The sequence below is a fragment of the Homo sapiens genome, chromosome 13 (assembly GCF_000001405.40).
Source record: "Homo sapiens chromosome 13, GRCh38.p14 Primary Assembly".
NCBI lineage: Eukaryota > Metazoa > Chordata > Mammalia > Primates > Hominidae > Homo > Homo sapiens.
The window spans coordinates 24,529,347-24,549,183 of record NC_000013.11 but is presented as its reverse complement, the minus strand read 5'-3'; the positions used below and the strand labels follow the sequence as shown (position 1 = coordinate 24,549,183).

The 19,837-nt window shown below is 41.6% G+C and overlaps 1 protein-coding gene and 1 long non-coding RNA gene across 7 annotated transcripts in view, besides 2 other annotated features; one reads left to right on the top strand and one right to left on the bottom strand.

The window, feature by feature from the left end:
• Positions 1 to 8,184, bottom strand: part of LOC101927375 (ankyrin repeat domain-containing protein 26-like) — a 30,147-nt gene extending 21,963 nt beyond the window's left edge. For all 4 annotated transcript variants that reach the window (XM_011535334.3, XM_011535335.3, XM_047430817.1 and 1 more), the window contains exons 1-3: positions 7,927 to 8,184; positions 7,022 to 7,326; positions 1,476 to 1,548 (exon numbers count right to left, since the gene is read on the bottom strand). In XM_011535334.3, the coding sequence (XP_011533636.1) occupies positions 1,476 to 1,548; positions 7,022 to 7,272 (324 nt within the window). In that variant the 5' untranslated portion in view covers positions 7,273 to 7,326; positions 7,927 to 8,184. The remainder of the gene's footprint in view (positions 1 to 1,475; positions 1,549 to 7,021; positions 7,327 to 7,926) is intronic.
• Positions 7,327 to 7,386: an enhancer, noted in NCBI's record as "active region_7478". NCBI's record gives its function as "activates an Ori minimal core promoter by ATAC-STARR-seq in GM12878 lymphoblastoid cells {active_cell/tissue: GM12878}" and the evidence as "EXISTENCE:reporter gene assay evidence [ECO:0000049][PMID:35858748]".
• LOC105370295 (uncharacterized) lies at positions 7,464 to 10,046 on the top strand. 3 transcript variants are annotated; one of them, NR_158454.1, is made up of 3 exons: positions 7,464 to 7,857; positions 8,181 to 8,390; positions 9,157 to 10,046. It is a non-coding gene; the product is annotated as an uncharacterized LOC105370295 (long non-coding RNA). The 3 variants fall into 3 exon arrangements; NR_158453.1 differs by lacking the exon at positions 8,181 to 8,390 and having other exon boundaries at positions 7,464 to 7,700; NR_158455.1 differs by lacking the exon at positions 8,181 to 8,390.
• Positions 8,019 to 8,313: a silencer, noted in NCBI's record as "tiled region #11501; K562 Repressive non-DNase unmatched - State 20:ReprD". NCBI's record gives its function as "represses a minimal TATA promoter and a strong SV40 promoter by Sharpr-MPRA in K562 cells {active_cell/tissue: K562}" and the evidence as "EXISTENCE:reporter gene assay evidence [ECO:0000049][PMID:27701403]".
• Positions 10,047 to 19,837: the final 9,791 nt, after the last annotated feature.

Genomic DNA, 19,837 nt, shown 5'->3' with positions numbered 1-19,837 from the left:
CACCATCACTGGACGTCAGAGAAATGCACATCAAAACCACAATGAGATACCATCTCACACCAGTTAGAATGGCGATCATTAAAAAGTCAGGAAACAACAGGTGCTGGAGAGGATGTGGAGAAATAGGAACACTTTTACACTGTTGGTGGGAGTGCAAACTAGTTCAACCATTGTGGAAGTCAGTGTGGTGATTCCTTAGGGATCTAGAACTAGAAATACCATTTGACCCAGCCATCCCATTACTGGGTATATACCCAAAGGATTATAAATCATGCTGCTATAAAGACACATGCACACGTATGTTTATTGAGGCACTATTCACAATAGCAAAGACTTGGAACCAATCCAAATGTCCAACAATGATAGACTGGATTGAGAAAATGTGGCACATATACACCATGGAATACTATGCAGCCATAAAACGTGATGAGTTCATGTCCTTTGTAGGGACATGGATGAAGCTGGACACCATCATTCTCAGCAAACTATCACAAGAACAAAAAACCAAACACCGCATGTTCTCACTCATAGGTGGGAATTGAACAATGAGAACACTTGGACACAGGAAGGGGAACATCACACACCGGGGCCTGTTGTGGGGTGCGGGGAGGGGGGAGGGATAGCATTTGGAGATATACCTAATGTTAAATGACCAGTTACTGGGTGCAGCACACCAACATGGCACATGTATACATATGTAACTAACCTGCATGTTGTGCACATGTACCCTAAAACTTAAAGTATAATTAAAAAAAAAAAACTAGAGGTGAGGTCTTCTTATGTTGCCCAGGCTGGTCTGGAACTCCTGGACTCAAGTGATCCTACTGCCTCAGCCTTCCAAAGAGCTGGGACTACAGGCATGTGCCAGCATGCCCAGCTACATGTCCACAATGTTATTGGAGTCTAATTACAGAACCAAGGACCAAAGAGAGAAAAAGTTTCCTACTAAAAACTGTGTCATCCCACAGTAAGCATCCAAGAAAGTAAAAGGAAACCATATGATATGTGCTTTACTGTTTTGGAACTGAAAGACCCCGGGGACATTCTATGGTTACTATAATGAGTAATTGAACCCATTAAAAGGTATTCAAGCACATGGATTATAAAGATCACAATAGTATGACTGAAAAGTTCCTGTGAGAATACTCACCAAATAAACCCTGACCAAATTTCAAGTTTCCTCTACTGTGGGAAAGCTTTTCCACATACAGTTTTCCTGTCACTATGTATTTCCCAGTTCATGCCATTTTTCAGCCCCCAATTCCTCTAAGTATTTAGCACCCTTTCCCATTTTCCAAAGAAAAAAGTAAAGGAAATTCAAATAGTCATATTTCTATAATATGTTTTTTTTCTGACCAACTATTCCCCAAGACTGTAAAACAATTATAGGTAGACCGCTGCCACAGTTGAAGAGTAAATACTGTGCAAAACTAGATTCAGAGCAAGAAAATTTATTTCACAAAAGAGCACTTTACCTTGGTACCAGAATCAAAGAGTTCATCATCTATTGAAAGCCATGAGTCACCAGAACTCTGTTCGTTGGACAGCCTAAAGATAAAAACATACAAGAAAAATGAGTGAGTTCACTTCTCTTAAAAAAAAAAATTATTTGTTTTGTGTCTGGGTATCACCCCCCACCAAAAAAAACAAAAACAAAAACAAAATCTGGGGAAAGGTCAGCTACCTATACAATAGATAATATTCCTTAATATAATTAAAATCGGCCTCTTTTTCAAAAAGATTTTAGTTACCTATTTCTGCCTCCACCTTTCCCAATCTATGAAATGTTCAATGAAGACTCACCCTTAGTTCCTTAACAAATAGTGACCAGCAATATATTGGCAGAGCCTGAGAATAATTTGTCTTCAGAAGTGTCTGTCCTGAAGGCTGAATTCAATATCCAATTAATGAGTGACATAACCTTTGTTACCTGAATTGGAACCAATTGATCACTTAAAACAAGGTAAGAAAGAGACACTGTGTCTTCTCCATTACCTGTCTCTGGTTCAAAGGCTAATCTGTGCCACTCAAAAATGGCAGTCTTGGTTCTTCAGCATGGAAACCACTTAAGTAGGCCCTATTGCTGCCCTTTACCCTAAAACAGTGTAGGCAGTTCGCTGAAATGTCTGAAATGCTTGACAGCTCAATGTACGAAAGTTAAAGGAACAAGTGTCTATGTCATTATTGGAAATATGCTTTGCAGAAAGATTAAAACCTTAGCAAAGATAAACTTTAATTATGTTCCCTGCGTAGGTCCTGCCTAGTTCAGGTCCACATCAACTAGCAAGCCCTTGAGAATCTTCACAGATGCTCTGATACCCAAGGAGAGAGACTGCTGGAAAAATAGAGTCCTGAAAGCTGTATCTCTGTTTTTCCCAATTGCTATCTCAAGTTCTTCTTTCCTATGGGCTCCTACTTACAGATCCCTCTAGGACTCAATGACAGTCTCCAACATTGAAGTCTTCCATGTATGAAAGCACCCATTCCAAAAAATGGGTTCAAATGATCAAGAGTAGGAGCTATTTCCCTCCTTCCGGTAAACAAACTACGTGTAGTCTCAGTCATCTGTCCCCAGTACAGACACGTTCCCCACCACCCAAGTGAATTAGTACAACCACCTTGGAGAATAGTTTTGAAGTTCCTGAAAAGACTAAGAATAGAATTACCATATGATCTAGCAATCCCACTGCTAGGTATAAACCCCAAGGGAAGGCAATCAGTATATTGAAGAACTATGAGTACATTCATATTTACTGAAGCATTATTCCCAATAGCCAAGATTTGGGAAATAACTGTTCATCCATAGAAGAAAGGGTAAAGAAAAAGTGTTACATAGACACAATGGAGTACTATTCAGGCATAAAAAAATGAGATCTTGACACTTACAACAACATGGATGGAAATGAAGGACATTATGTTAAGTAAAATAAGCCAGCCACAGAAGAACAAAGTTTGCAGGTTCTCACTCATTTGTGGAAGCTACAAATTGAAACAATTGAACAAAGGGAGATAGACAGTAGAACAATACTTAGGAGGGGCTGGGAAAGGTATTGAGATTGGGGGAGGGTGGAAGTGGGGATGGTTAACTGGTACAAAAATATTTAGATAGGATTAATATGATTTAGCGCTGGATGGCCCAACAGGGAAACTATAGTCAACAATAATTTATTGGCCGGGCGTGGTGGCTCAGGCCTGTAATCCCAGCACTTTGGGAGGCCAAGGCGGGCGGATCACGAGGTCAGGAGATAGAGACCATCCTGGCTAATACGGTGAAACCCCGTCTCTACTAAAAAATACAAAAAATTAGCCGGGCATTGTGGCAGGCGCCTGTAGTCCCAGTTAATCGGGAGGCTGAGGCAGGAGAATGGCGTGAACCCGGGAGGCGGAGCTTGCAGTGAGCCGACATGGCGCCACTGCCCTCCAGCCTGGGCGACAGAGTAAGAGTCCATCTCAAAAAATAATAATAATAATAATAATTTATTGTACATGTTAAAATAGCCAAAAAGTATATTTGGAATGTTGTAACACAAAGAACAGTAACTGCTTGAGGGGACAGATATACCCATTTACCCTGATATGATAATTATGCATTGTATACCTGTATCAAAATACCTCATGTACCTATAAATATATTATGTACACTTGCTATGTACCCATAGAAATAAAAAATAGGAAGACAACCCAAAAAAGAACAGCGAAAAAAAACGGCTGAGATAATAATGACACATTTTTACCAAAAAACTATTCTTACTTGGCTTTCAGAAAACTTTAGGCCAAAGAAACATCAAAATTCAAATGAATAAGCATGGCTCATTTTATTCAATATTTTGATTTATATGATATATGTAAATCAGATATTATCAATGATTAATATTAGTCTTTAAGACTTCTATAAGGGAGTGGGTTAAATTACTACTACCAGGTACTATGCTCATGGCAAGAGTGATGCCATCTGTCCTCCAAACTTCACCATCACTCAATGTTCCCATGTATGATATCTGCATATGTGCCCTCTGTATCTCAAATAAAAGTTGAAATTAAGAAAAGAGAAACACTGTTATAAATTTTCAAAAGGATAGTTTCAAGGTTATCTTTTACAACTTTCTACCTTCAGAAATGCTTTTGTTTGAAAGGAGGGAGGAAAAGCTTCAACTTAGATTAAGTCCTAATAGTCCAATTTTAATTCTCTCAACTTGCTCAAATTGGGTAGGTAAACATAAATTTTTTAAGCTTGGAAAGGTTCTGAGAGAGAGTAGAATACACAGTGGGTATTCAGGTCACATTTGGTGAATAAATGGATTAAAAGACTACGTAAATATATTTGAGGAGTTCAATATTTTTACAGAAAACTAGTAAAGATAAGTAACATTTGTGCAATAGAAATGATTTATATTTGCTATTTTTTATTTTCATAAGGACACCACTAAAATAAAATTATTAAATTATAATTGTTTGCATGTATGTAATAAATCTATCCATAATAAAAGACATGTATATGATAAAGAGTATACACAATACAATCTACCAGCACAGATTAAAAGAGTCCCTCTATTTCTGAAGAGGCTAAACCTTGGCAGAAGATACCAATCCACAAAAAAAAATTAATAGAAAGCAAGAACTTATTTTTATCTGTTCAAGTTTCATATTCCTGTTCTTACCTAGGATTATTTCAGTAATAATAAACTTTCACTAAACCTGTTATACATGCTCATTGTGGATATAACAATAAGAAAAAGGAAAATAAATCACCTGTAATACAAATGTCCCAAAATAACAAAATTTTATCACATTTTGTGTATACTTTTGGCTACCACAAGACCATTCTGTTTGTGTGTTTGTATAAACAAATCGATTTTTTCTCACCTCATATACCAAAGTACATCTTCCCATGTCAACATACATCCATGTCTATTGCTACGTTCAGTAGTTACACATAATTTCATCCTATGGATGCACTGAAATTTATTTATAAAATCCTTTATTTGTCCTCTCCTTAATACATTGCTATTGGAAGCAGTGCTGAGAAAAATGAATTGTATGCATCTCTAATTATTTCCTGAAAATATTTTAGTATAACGGAATTCATGAGTAAAGAATACATGCCTTTTTCAGAGTGATGTTCGCCACCAAATTGTTTATTTAAAAAGTTAACAGTAACTTAAACTTTAAGCACTGGTATAAGTACTACTGATTTTCCAGATCACTAGTAGATCTGGAAAAAGTACTTTGACCAATTTTAAATTATAGTTCCTATTTCTTTAAAAAAATTCTCTGTAAAAGGAAAATACATTTTTCATTGCAAATAATATATGTCTATATTTATGTATATAATGTGACTATTTTGCAAGTATGTTGTCTTTTGTTAATTTTTTTCTGATGTAAGGGGAGTTTTAATTTTTGTTTTCTAAATCAACCTGCAGAATGCATTCATAGGAAGGTCTTTGTCAACATAAAAATGTATCTGTATAAATAGGCATTCGTGTTGTATTCTGGCATTTTCTAATTTTGTATAAGTTTTTATGCATATTCTATCAATAACTTATTTTTGTAATGTACAAATCTAGCTAGTTTTCTCCGGTTAACAGACATTTCATTTACAAATAACTCATCTTTTCATACACATATGAAATGTCATCAGGATCAGGTTCTAAAATTTTACATATAGTTCAGTGTTTGTGCATTTTTTATTCTGTTCCACACATTTATCTGTCTTCTCATCTTTTAGCAAATGGAACTTAATATCACACTTTGATATATCAAAGGGCAAGTCTTTGCTCTTTTACAAAAATTTTCTTAATGTCATCATAACAGTAAAAGGTAGCATATGTAACCCAAAAATCTTAAAACCATGATGTTTTTATTTGGTTTATCTAAAATGAAGAGTTCACATCTTGAGAAAAATGAGTCTTCCCACATGCACACATATGTATATTGCGGCACTATTCACAATAGCAAAGACTTGGAACCAACCCAAATGTCCATCAGTGATAGATTGGATTAAGAAAATGTGGCACCATCTATACACCACATGGAATACCATGCAGCCATAAAAAAGGATGAGTTCATGTCCTTTGCAGGGACGTGGATGAAGCTGGAAACCATCATTCTCAGCAAACTATCACGAGATCAGAAAAGCAAACACCGCATGTTCTCACTCATAAGTGGGAGTTGAATAATGAGAACACGTGGACACAGGGAGGGGAACATCACACACCAGGGCCTGTCGGGGGCGGTGGGGGGCTAGGGGAGGAGAAATAGCTAATGTAGGTGATGGGTTGAGGAGCGCAGCAAACCACCATGGCACGTGTTATAGCTATGTAACAAAACTGCACGTCCTGCACATGTAACCCAGAACTTCAGGTATAATAAAAAAAAAAGAAAGAAAGAAGGAATGAAGGAAGGAAGGAAGGAAGGAAAGAAAAGAAAAAGAGAGAAAGAAAGAAAGAAAGGAAGGAAGAAAGAAAGAAGAAAGAAAGAAAGAAAGAAAGAAAGAAAGAAAGAAAGAAAGAAAGAAAGAAGGAAAGATTAGTCTTCCTATTCAAGAACAGGGAACCATGCTCTCACTTCAAAGGATCCTTCTGAGGTCATTCATGAAATAACTTATTACTCAGGTGTAGGTGGATACAAAAGGGATATTAGATTTTTATCCAAAGAATTTTTAGCCCAGAAGTTAATATAATATAGAAATTATTTTTCTCATGATGCTTGTTTCCACAGCATATATAACATTGTTTAAAATGTGTACAATAAAAAAAAAGCTAGGTATGTTTAATTTTTTTTAGTTAAAGCACTAAAACTTTCAGTAAAGTAACGGGAATTATGAGAGGATCGGACCAGCTAAAGTTTTGTTTTCATCGCGCTGCTCATAATGATGACCTTGAGGTTGCCACACCGGGTGCTGCGGGCTGCAGAGGGAACAAAGCCCAGCGCCCTCGGGGACAGGGGTGAGCCGAGAGCAGGAAAGGGGGCCTCTCCCCGACCCGCCCTCCTCCCTCCCCTGCCGGGCTCCAGTTCCTATTACCTGTTCTTCTCGTCTCTGTCATCCACGCCACTCTTCGGCAGAGAAAGGATCCGCCGCATCGTCTCTGTCCGGTGTCGGCCGGCAGCTCTGCGGAGCCTGTCGAACCCCTTGTCCGGGTCGTGGCGCCTGGGCTGGGAGGAGGCGTGGTCCGCACTCTCACTCCCGGCGCCCGCGCCCACCTTCCCGGGGCTGCTGACCGAGCCCCAGGGCAGCCCGCCCTTCCCCCTCCTGAAGCCCGACGTCTTCTTCATGGCTCCGTCTACCGGCTTCGGAGACCCGCTGGACTTTTCGCCGCCTCCGGAACCCTATATGAGGAAGCAAATCGCGTCCGCCACAGCCTCCAACTAGGAAACTCCGCGACTCTCAGCCCCTCAGAAGAGAAACGGAGACGCGCCAAGCAAAGCCGTTACACGGACTGTGCACGCGCCTCCGGTGTCCCTGCGCGTGACACAAATTTGGCCCCGAGGGAGCTCCATGTGCCTGAGTCCCAGGAGCCCTAGATGCCAGCGACAGCTTGTCACCAGGCCTGCGACGCCAATGGGCGGGAGTCGGCGGAGCTCAGGACACTGACGACGGGCCTGGGGGAAAGCGGTCCCCACACAGCCCGGGGCCAGAGGAGCGGGCTGCCAGGGTCAGACGGAGGAAGACCGCGGGAAACAGACTGGACGTGCAGGGAAAGGTCCAGTCCCACCCGCGGGTGCAGGGAACAGCCTGTGGGGAGGGGACCCAGGGCCGCGTGGGAAGAGTCAGGGAGCTTAGGTGGACCGCCCGGCAGGAAGAGAGGGGAAGGCTGAGCAGTGAAGGGGTCCCCAAGTCAGCCAAGGCAGAGTTCCCAGGTACGAATTCAGAGCCTGACGGTACTGGGCGGGGAGGTAGCCCCCACCTTCCTGAAGCCCCTTCCTTACCTCTGGGAGCGTGAGGCTGGAGACGCCTGGGTAGGTCTGAGGGTGAGCCCTGGGTGTGGGGTAGCTCCACCCTGCAAGTGCCTAGAGGCCCCACACCTCCAGCCTCCCTCTGAATTCAGGGTTCTCTGTCCTGAGGCTGCCCAGGGGAGCCTGGCTGGGGCGAGATGGGCCGGACATGGGCCTGGGCGAGTCTCGCCACAGAGGGGCGCCGCTGAGCAGCCAGGCCTCCTGAGGAGTGGACACTCTCCCGGCAGGCCCTGGGATCCGCCACCCACAAGCACACTTGGAGGCAGCATCCTTGCAGGACTCGCGCCGGAGCCTGAGCCCTCCAGCCAGCCCAGCGCGCCACCGCCCTTCTGTCCCCAGCCACCCACGAGAGAATCTGGGTCGCCAGGGCCTTGTCCTTCACCAAGGCAAAGCCGGCTCAGCCTCAGAGCCACAGGCGAGAGCGCCTGTCTGCATGAGTGAGCATATGGGTGTCTTTGAGTCTGTGGGTGTCACAGAGGAGATCAGGAGCTGCCTGCTCACAGGCACTTTGGGACCCTGAAAGAAAAGGCTGTGCCGAGAGAGTTCTTCCAGTCAGGAGGTTTCGGAATGGGGGAGAAGGGAGTGCCTGGAATCCCGACCTCAGAACTGAGCCTCCCAAGTGGGCAACGGTGGCTCCCCCACGCGCTCAAGGGCCAGGCAGGTGCATCCACCCCGCCTTGCATGGCCCAGGTGTGAGCCGGTGGGCAGAGGTGTGGCCCTGGGTCCAGCTGAGAAGGCTCCCGCATTGACTGGTTGGGGTTGGGGAGTTCTGCCTTCCTGCTTGGCCCAGTGCTGGGACGGGTAAGGGGTGGGGGTAGGGGTCCTATAGCTGGGTCCTAACCCCGCAGGCCACCCAGACCCTGCCCATGTGGGCACTCAGGGGTCAGGTGTTCTTAGAGGGAACTAAGCTGGGCAGGGTCAGCGTCCCATTCTGCAGAGGAGGAAGCTGAGGCCCACGAGGTAAACAGTGGGCTGGGAGTGGGCCTGGTAGACCCCAACCCCAGGCCATGGAGACCACCTACTCAGGGAGCACCACAAATGCCCCTTAACGACTGGATCCTCCAGTTTTCATGCAGTGGGATCTACACTGAACCTGGGGTCTCACTGGGGGAGAGCAGGAGGTGGCTTGAGGCTGGGCATGGGTGGCCACGGGGGTATGGACTGGCTGACCCCTGTGCATTGACCGCACTCTCCGTCCCCAAGGTGTCATGAGGACTGGACATGGGTCTATCAGGACCATCGGCATGATGTCAGCCAAGGATCTCGTGGCCTGCCTCTGCCAAGGGGGGACCAGCACCTTGTCCTGAGCACTTCCAGCCTCCCATTGCCTTCAACCTGGCTGCATTCAGCTGCCATGCCCCTACCTCCTGATGTGGCCAGCACCCTCCAGGACTTCATCTAGGTGCACCCAAAGGCCGAGGACGTTGCTGGCCAGCAGGAAATTCCTGGTGCATCCAGGAAGACTTCCAAGAGGTGGTGGAACAGGGGGCGCCACACCCAGACAGCTGTGTGTAACTGTGCAGCTTCGGGCTGCTGCAGGTGCTGGCCGGACTGTGTTCTGGGCACACTGGACTGTGTCACTGCATGGAGGCTGTTGCCGGAGGAGGAAGTGCAGGCCCCAAGGCCTATGTGCCTGGAAACCAGCTGGGGCTGCTGCAGGAGGAGGGCTGCAGGATGCTCCAGCTCAGACCTGACTCAGGGTTTTAGAGGGCACAGGGCATAAAGCTGTGGACATAGACAGCCCTACTGCGCAGGAAGAGCATAAACCAGCCAGAGGGCATGCATGGGGGCTGCTGTTGCATTCTGGTCTCCTTTGAGGTAGGGAAAGATGTGTTTCTTTCTATTTTATGGGTGAGCAAACTGAGGCAGAGTGGTGGAGTGATTTCCCCCAGCATCGATGGCAGATTTAGCTCCAGGGCTTAGATTTTAGGATCCTCCCTCTCAAATACCATGATGTATCATGGGCTTTTTCTCCACAGAAAATTAGAAACTCAGAAATGGAAAGGAACAATGAAACTTACCCATTCTCCCACTGCTCACATTTCCTTCTGGTCTTTTTGTGTGTGCATATAAAATATATCTCAGAAAATTGAGTTTGTGCTGTGGATGCCATTTATATCCTTTTATACTCAACAGATCATGAAAATCCCTTTTGTTGCTAATTATATTTCCTGGCAGCTCCATGGCCCGTCCTGTGCACATGCTGTTATTCCTTTGGAGAGTCCTAGATTTTTGCTCTTGGTTGTAACACATCATGAGTGACATCCTGTCTCCACGATGTTTTCTCCTTAAGATGGAGACAGATATAGAGCTCCTGGATCAGGGAGCACTGCCACCTGTAGGATCCTTGACTTTAGGAGCTGTCCCCCTAACCATCTGGTCACCTCTCATCCTCCACCCAGCCCTGATGCTCACTTTGCAAATTCTTTGCCAACCTAATGGGTGCAAATTCTTTTGCCAACCTCAGCTGTTTCGATGAGTAAGTCCTCTGACTGCTGGAAGATGACAGGAAGGAGTTTTAGCAATGTTAAAACCACTGAGACTGGGGATGTCTTGGGGTCATCATTGATGTCAGCCCCCACCCCACCAAACACACACACACACACACACACACACACACACACACACACACACTCTCACATTCTTCCTCTGCCTCCCAGGTGCTTAATTTGTATGGCTTTGGTTTGCTGGTGAGGAAGAACTTTCTTCTTTCTTTTATGTGATTTGAGGCCATTATATTTGTATCTGGAAATTGTTAAAATTGAGGCTCTGTCTCCTTTTCCCAGTGAGAATTCATGAGCATTCCCAACATTCCCACGTGGACACAGACACATGCCACTTGTAGCCCCTGTGTTACCTTGTTCTGCCTACAGACACACCCATGGGTCCAGAGACCAGCAAGGCCATATTGCTAATCCAAATTTTTGTGGAAAAGGAAACTGATGCAGGATCTGCTCAGGGTCAGCCCTGCTGCTGACCATCTATGTAACCTCAAATCTGTCATCTGTAAAGTGCCTCCCCCACAGGGCGACGGAGAGATTGAGGGGAAGGTAGGGTCGATGGCTGCACACCGGGAAGTGCAGCTGTGGGTTCTGGGGATGGCATGGCGTGGGGGTCCCTCCAAAGGGACACAGGTCTCTGCAGTCCTGTGGGAAGGAAGCTACCCAGGCCAGGTGCATAGAGACAGGATTTACCTGTGGCCCAATCAGCTGGGTAGGTGAGGCGGTGTGGGGAAGGGGCCAGCCCATCCTGAGGCACTCTCCCCACAGGGAAGCCCCACGGCGTGCACCAGCTGGCCACACTGCCAATGAGTTGGATGTGGAGGACGTATCGCACCTTCTGGTGGCCAACACCCTGGTGGCCACCTGGATGAGGCCCACAAGTCCCTGCTGGTAGCCCTCTCCTGAGGACTCAGATGGCCCCGTGCTGGCCCTGCTGGCCTTGCTGCGGCTGGGGAGAGGCTGCTTCTATGATGCCAACCCAGGTGGGCTGCAGAGGGCAGGTAGCAGCGGGACTCTTCTCTGAGGAGGGCACAGGCCTTCCGTGGCCCTTGCTCTCCACCCCACAACCTGGGCTTTGGAGCAAGCAAACCTTGTTCAGCCCTAGTTCTGCCACCTGCCACAGGATCTCACCTCTTTGACCTTCAGTCTCCTCATCTGTGTCCTGGTCTTTCGGGTTGTCATGGAAATTAGCTGGAGCAGGTACCCCAGGGCCCAGCAGGTTTCCTGCATACGGTAGGTGCTTTGTATTTGTTTTTGCTGTGGTTCCAATGATATCGGTGAAAGTTTTTGTTTGTGTGTTTTTGTCCCTATGCCCTTCCATACTACACTGCTTTTCAGGTGAAAGAGGCTATATGTATTTTACATGTTGTACATTACAAGAAAACTCAGAAGAATTCTTTTTACAAAAGGCACAATTCAATTGTATGAAAAGAGTCTAACACTCTCTCAGTAATTGTTTGAGCAAAGACATTTTGAAAAAAAGATCAACAAAGGTATGTAAAATATAAGTAGCAAAAAATAAAAACTTGATGCCCTTTTAGTTTATGTAATATTTCAACCTTCCTATTTTAAAGTCTAATATTTTATATATGTCCAGTAGACCATGCATTAAATCTAGAATAAATGATGAAATCCTAAGCTGCATGTGTCATAGGATTGTCATCACACAGACCACATTATTTAACCTTAATCTAATTGTCACAAAAATAGCCTTCATTTGGACATAAAATCACACAGAAAAAATAAACTTCTAAAAACCGATGATGAAAGAAGACATTAAAATGAATATTCTAAAATATTTAAAGGTTATACTTGGTAAAACTATAAATTTGTGGATACAACAAATGCAGTGCATTAGTTTCCTATCGGTGCTGTAATAAAGGACCATAACCAGTGACTTAAACAACACAAATATAGTATCTTAGAGTTTTGGAGATCAGAATTCTGAAATTGGCTTTAATAAAATAAAATCAAGGTATCTACAGAGTGGCATTCTTTGTAGATGTTCTAAAAGATCATTCTTTTCCTTGACTGCTCCAGTTTCTAGAGGCCACCGGCATTCCTTGGCTTGTGTCCTCTCCTTCATCTTCAAAGCCAGCAATATTGCATCTTCAAATCTCTCTGAATCTCTGCTTCTGTCTTCCACTTTTAGCCCATTGTGATTACATTGCATCAGTATCTATTACTATATGGACATATTTTGGATGCTGTTATTCTGCCTACCACAAGCAGTATTTAAGGAAATATTAGACTTATAAATGATATATTAGAAGGTAAGAAAGACTGTAAATTAGTGAATTGAGTTTCTAATCTGAGAAATATTAGAAAAAGTCTTCAGAATAAATCCAAACACATTAGTAGATATGAATTTCTAGTAAAAAATCATGGATAAAAAAATTGTAACAGAAATCCAGCAAAGTTCAATAAAGATCAACATTTCTTTAAGTACACTAATAAAAATGGTTAATCATCTGTCAAGATTTATCAGGAAAATAGACAATATTAGAAATAAAAGGATGAACATATTAAATTGCTGGAGCTTATGCCAGTAAGCAACTTTGTAACACTTTATTTGAAATTTTAAACTATCTGCATATATCCTCAAAAATACAGCTTACTAAACTTGATTAAATATTAATTATAAAATGTTAATGCTCCTGTAGCTGGTAAATAAACACAATCCATAGCATCTGCTTTGAGTATGATTGGTGAGGAGACAGCAAGGAGCAGGTGCCACAGGAAGGTGTGACTGGCCAGGTGGGTAGGTGTCCCTGAGGAGTCCCATCTGAGCTGGGTCCTGGGTGTGCAAAGTGAGCAGGGAGGAACATTCCAGACAGAAGAGCCTGAAGGTCTGGAGCAGACAGCGTGAGCGCACTGCAGATTTGATGCCCTCATCTGTAGAAAAATGAGTTCTGGGCCTGCCTGGGCATCTGGACCTCAGTTCCAGTAGGAGAATCTGTGTATGTCACTCAAGTTCTCTGAGCTCTGGTGGTTCATGGCTGCTTCCTCTTGTTTTGGGAGTGACTGCCAGGTCCAGGAGGTGCACCTCAATAAGTTCTTGGACAAACTGAGTAGCAAATCCATGAGGAAATGTGGATTCTCTTGGAGTTCTGGAGGTCAGAATTCTGAAATTGACTTTAATAAAATAACATCAAAGTATATACAGAGTTGCATTCTTTCTAGAGGTTCTAAAATATAAGCAAAGTTTTACCTGCAAATAGTGATATAGTGAAGTTTTCCCTGGAAAAGGTCAAAGATTTTCTGAAGAACATAAAATCCAGGTAGGCTGACCAGACCCCAAAAGGCAGAAGGAGCTGGCCTGAAATTCATATCCAGGGTCACAGGCAGCCTGCTTAGGAGCCCAGGGGCTTGCCCCTCAAGCTTAAAAGGAATATTTTGTCTCTAACTTTGGAAAGTGTTATGGCTCTTTGTAGCTCTGTTCTCAGACAACACAGAAAATTCTTCAGGAGGTTTTAAGGCAATTTAGTTTAAAGGTCAGAGCATGGACCTCCCCTTAAACAATTTAAATATATGTGCTTTTTGTTTTTTTTTTAAAAAAGGCAAAGTCATCATATAGAAACGTTCCCTTTATTCCTGCAGAAATTTGGTTATGAGCACACACGCATGCGTGCGCCGCACACACACACACACACACACACACACACACACACACACAATCCTTTAACTTACATTTTTTGGTCCAGGGTTTTATTAACAAGGTAAAATATTACAAGGTGAAATATATACACATACACCCATATACATATATATATACACACACACATACATATATGATGTTGTTTATATACATATCGGATCATACTATGCAACTTATTCTGTAACTGCAGACATATTTCAATTTTAAATAATCATGAATAATTCATTCATATGGAGGCTTTATAATGATCTATCCCCAACTGATTACCTTTTTTTATTGGTTCCAATTTCTAAGTATTACAAACAGTTTTCTGTGAACTTTCTTGTATCTTTGGGCTTTTGTAAAACTAGTTCTCTAAGAACCAATCACAGAATGGAATTTCACTACTAAATGACTGTAGTACTTAGAGTCTTAGATCAGAGGTCCCTGTTCAGAATGCTAATAAATGCTCCTTACGCCAGCTTCCTAAATTGAGTGATCAGTCCATGCAGGATAGTTTTCGAAATTAAGAAACTGTGAGTATAAAACATGTTTCTTTCCATTCTTAGGCTCAGGAGTTTATTAACAAGGTGAAACATTATAAGAAAGAATTTTGGAAGACACTATACAGTCAAATATTATAGAGTCCAGTCCCAGTTGTAATTATCATAAGAACAGAACGTGTGCACTTGATCAGCTTCTGATAGGCATTCCGGGTCAAGGGTAGATCTGTAACTTTACACATAGACTAACGGAAGAGAATGGAGAGTCCAGAAATTAATTTAAGCATCTATGGGTAATTGACTTTTCACAGCATTGCCAGGAAAATTCAATGGAGAAAAAACGCTCTTTTTAACAAATGGTGCTGGGATAATGATAGCCACATGCAAAGGAGTGAGGTGATGTTCTTACATGGCAGTATATACAACAATTAACTCAAAATGAATTAAAAACCTTAACATAAATGTTAAAACTCTTAAAAGAAAACATAGAAATAAATCTCCATGACCTTTGATTTGACAATGGAGTCCTAGATATAGCACTGAAAGCATGAGAAACAAGAGGAAAAATACATAAATTGGACTTCATCAAAATTAAAAACTAGAATCCATAAAAGAACATTATCAAGATAGTGAAAAGACAAGTTTGTAGTTTAGATTTATTTTAATCTATTTATCTATCTATCTATCTATCTATCATGCTTTGAATTGCTGCCCTGGCCCAGTTTTATTTGCTCTTTATTTTTCAACTTTTATTTTAGATTCAGAGGGTACATGTGCAAGTTTTTACTTGGGTAAATGACATGATGCTAAGGTTTGTGGTATGAATACACCCACCACCCAAATACCAACCATACTACCCAACAGTTAGAATTTCAACCCTCACCACCACCCTCCCTTTCCCCACTAGTAGCCCACAATGTCTTTTGTTTCCATCTTTGTGACCATGAATACCTGATGTTTAGCTCCCACGTACAAGTGAGAATATGCGGTATTTGGTTTTCTGTTCCTGTGTTAATTTGCTTAGGATAATGGCCTCCAGCTGCATCCATGTTGCTGCAAAGAACATAATTTTGTTCTTTTTATGGCTGTGTAGTATTCCATGAAGTATACGTACCACATTTTCTTTATCCAATTCGCTGTTGATGGGCACCTAGGTTGATTCCATGTCATTGCTATTGTGAGTAGTATTGTGATGAACATGTGAGTGCATGTATGACTTTTTGGTAGAATAATTGGTTTTCTTTTGGATATATACTTAGTAATGGGGTTGCCAGATTGACTGGTAGTTCTCAGTTCTTTGAGAAATCTGCAAACTGATATCCACAGTAGTTGAGTAGTTAAACTAATTTACATTCCCACCAACAGCGTATAAGTTGTTCCTTTTTCTCCACAACCTCACCAACATCTGTTATGTTTTTACTTTTTTGTAATAGTGATTCTGACTGGTGTGAGATTGTATCTCATTGTGCTTCTAATTTACATTTCTCTGATGATCAGTGACGATGAGCATTTTTTCATATGTTTCTATGCCACTTGTATGTATTATTTTCAGAAGTATCTGTTCATGTATTCTGACTATTTTTGAATGAGGTTATTTGTTTTTTGCTTGTTCAGTTACTTAAATTCTTTACAGATTCTGGATATGTGACCTTTGTTGGATGCATAGTTTGTGAATATTTTTCCCATTCTGTACATTTACTCTGCTGAAAGTTTCTATTGCTATGCAGAAGCTCTTTAGTTTAATTAGATCTACTTATCAATTTTTATTTTTATTGCAATTCCTTTTGAGGACTTAACCTTAGCTTTCCCAAGGCTGATGTCCAGAATAGTGTTTCCTAAGTTTTCTTCTAGCATTCTGTTAGTTTGAGGTCTCACATTTAAACCTTTAATTCATCTTCAGTTAATTGTTGTACAAATGGTAAAAGGTAGGGTCCAGTTTCTTTCTTCTGTGTATGGCTAGCCAGCTATCCCAGCACCATTTATTGAATAGGATGTCCTTCCCCTATTGCTTGTTTTTGTCCACTTTGTTGAAGATTAGATGATCGAAAGTGTGGGGCTTTATTCCTGGGTTCTCTGTTCTGTTCCATTGGTCTATGTGTCTGTTTTTGTAACAGTAGCATGTTATTTTGGTTACTGTAGCCTTACAGTATAGTTTGAAGTTGGGTAATGTGATGCCTCTAGTTTGGCTCCTTTTACTTACGTTTGTTTTGGATCTTTGGGCTCTTTTTTGGTTCCATATGAATTTTAGAAAAGTCTTTTCTAATTCTGTGAAAAATAGCATTGGTAGTTTGATAGAACAGAATTTGTAAGTTGCTTTGGCAGTATGGCCATTTTAACAATTTTAATTCTTCCAATCCATGGGCATGGAATTTTTTATTTGTTTGTCATCTATGATTTCTTTCAGCAGTGTTTTGTAGTTCTCCTTCTAGAGATCTTTCACCTCCTTGGTTAGATGTATTCCTAGACATTACTTCTTTTGTGGCTATTGTAAAGGAGATTGTGTTCCTGATTGGGCTCTCAGGTCATACATTACTGATGTATAGAAATGCTACTGATTTTCATTGATTTTCTATTGTGAAATTTAATGAAGTTGTGTATCACTTCTAGAAGCCTTTTGGTGAGGTCTTTAGGGTTTTAGGTATAGAATTATATCATCAATAAAGAGAAATAGTTTGACTTCTTCTTTTTCTACTTGGATGCCTTATATTTCTTTCTCTTGCCTGATTGCCCTGGCTAGGACTTCTAGTATGACACTGAATAGGAATGGTGAGAATAGGAATCCTATTTTGTTGTAGTTCTCAAGGGGACTGCTTCCAGCTTTTGCCCATTCCATATAATGTTGGCTGTGGGTTTGTCACAGATGGCCCTTATTATTTTGAGGTATGTTTCTTTGATGCCTACTTTGTTGAGGGTTTTTAACATGAAGGGAAGTTGAATTTTATCAAAAGCTTTTTCTACATCCATTGAGATGATCCTATAGGTGTTGTTTTTAATGTTTATGTGGTAAATCACATTTATTGATTTGCATATGTTGAAACAAACTTGATTCCAGGAATCAAACCTACATTTTTATGGTGAATTAACTTTTGGATGTGCTGCTAGATTAAGTTCACTAGTATTAATATTTTGTTGAGAATCTTTGTGTATAAGTTCATCAGGGATATTGGCCTGTAGTTTTCTTTTTTTGTTGTGTCTTTGCTAGGTTTTGATATCAGGATGATGCTGACTTCATAGATGAGTTAAGGAGGAGTTTCTCTATTTTTTGGAATAGTATCAGTAGAATTGGTATCAGCTGTTCTGTGTACATCTGGTAGAATTCAGCTGTAAATCTATCTAATCCTGGACTTTTTTTGCTTAGTTGGTTTTTATTCCTGCTTCAATTTTGCAACTCAAGATTGGTCAGTTCAGGTTTCAGTTTCTTCCTGATTCATTCTTGGGAGGTTTGTGTTTCCAGGAATTTATCAGTTTCCTCTAGAATTCCTAGTTTGTGTGCATAAAGGTGTTAATAATAGTCTGAAGATCTTTATATTTCTGTGGAATCAGTAGTAATGTCATCTTTGTCATTTCTGATTGTGCTTCTTTTGGTTTTCCCTTTTGTTACTTTGTTAATATAGCTAGCAGACTATCAATTCTGTTTGTATTTTCTGTGAACAAACTTTGGGTTTTGTTGATCTTTTGTACAAATGTTTGCATCTCAATTTCATTCAGTTGTGCTCTGATTTTATTTATTTTCTTCTACTAGCTTTGGGGTTAATTTGTTCTTGTCTATCTAGTTCCTTTGGTGCAATGTTAGTCTATTAATTTGTGATTTTTTTCTATCCCCTTGGTGTAGGCATTTAGCACTATAAACTTTCCTCTTGATACTGCTTTTGCTGTATCCCAGATATTTTGGCATGTTCTGTCCTGTTTTCATTAATTTGAAAGAATTTTTTATTTCTGCTCTAATTTTATTGTTTACCCAAAAGTCATTCAGGAGCAAGTTGTTTAATTTTCATATAATTGTGTGGTTTTGAGAGATATTCTTGGTGTTGAATTTATTGCCCTGTGGTCTGAGAGTATAGTCTAATTTCTATTTTTTAAATTTATTAAGAGTTGCTTTATGGACAAGCATGTGGTCAATCTTATAATATGTTCTATATGCAGATGAGAAGAATGTATATTCTGTGTTTGTTAGATAGAGTACTACTAACATAAAAACACACTTAAGTACATCGTCCAATGACTCTATCAAGCAACTGCACAATTGAGTCTACAAAACAATGACAGGATAAACATCCCACATATCAATATTAACCTTCAATGTAATTGGTCTAAATGCCCTACTTAAAAGGGACACAGTGGTAATTTGGATAAAACAATAAGACTATTAGGTCAAATTCGTCAAGTGTCAAGTTTAAGTCCAGAATTTCTTTGTTAGTTTTCACCACAATCATCCATTTAAAGCTGTCAGTAGGATGTTGAAGTTCCCCACTATTAGTGTGTGGCTAAGTTTTTTGCAGGTTTAGAAGTATTTGTTTTATGGATCAGAGTACCCCAATGTTTATCTCCATGTCTTCAGAACCAATGAATGTCCCAGCATACTACAGATGCCCAATAAATGTTCAAAAAGTGAATACAAAAAGGAATGAATGTGTAAGAATGTCTTTGTATGCCCTGGAGGCTAGCTCATAAGGAGCAGACTTCTGCCTTTCTTCACTCTACTGTTGAGGCAGATGCCCTTCTTTTTTGTAGCGTGTGTGGCTGACCTGTTCACCCAGTGAGGTTCACCCAGTGGGGGTTACCAACATCATCAATAGCAGACCCCTTTTTTCCCTGTTCCTGGGTAGCAACTGTGAAGGAAAAGGCAGGAGCCAAACCCAGGGTAGCTGTATCCAAACCAATAGGAGGGCTACTGGGGAGGAGCAAAAGAAAGTGAAGTCCCTCCCCATGAGGGACTGGGCTTGGGTCCCAACATGCCAGGACTGTGAACAGAGCATGTTAATCCAAGGGCTGTTTTTGAGCCCTTGGTGATTAATTTGCATGGAAGATTAAGATCCAACAGGGGGAAAACAAGTCAATGGCTAATCTACTATGCTCCTGGGGTAACATACTTCATCTGCTTCTAATGATTACTTCCTACCTGAGCATTCTAGAAGTAAGTGGACCTGAATCACAGAGAGCATTCCCAGTTGGGCTCATATAAGTGAGGACCAAGCTGTGAGGGTGGACACAGGAGCCTCCTATTCAGCAGGCAACCAACATGC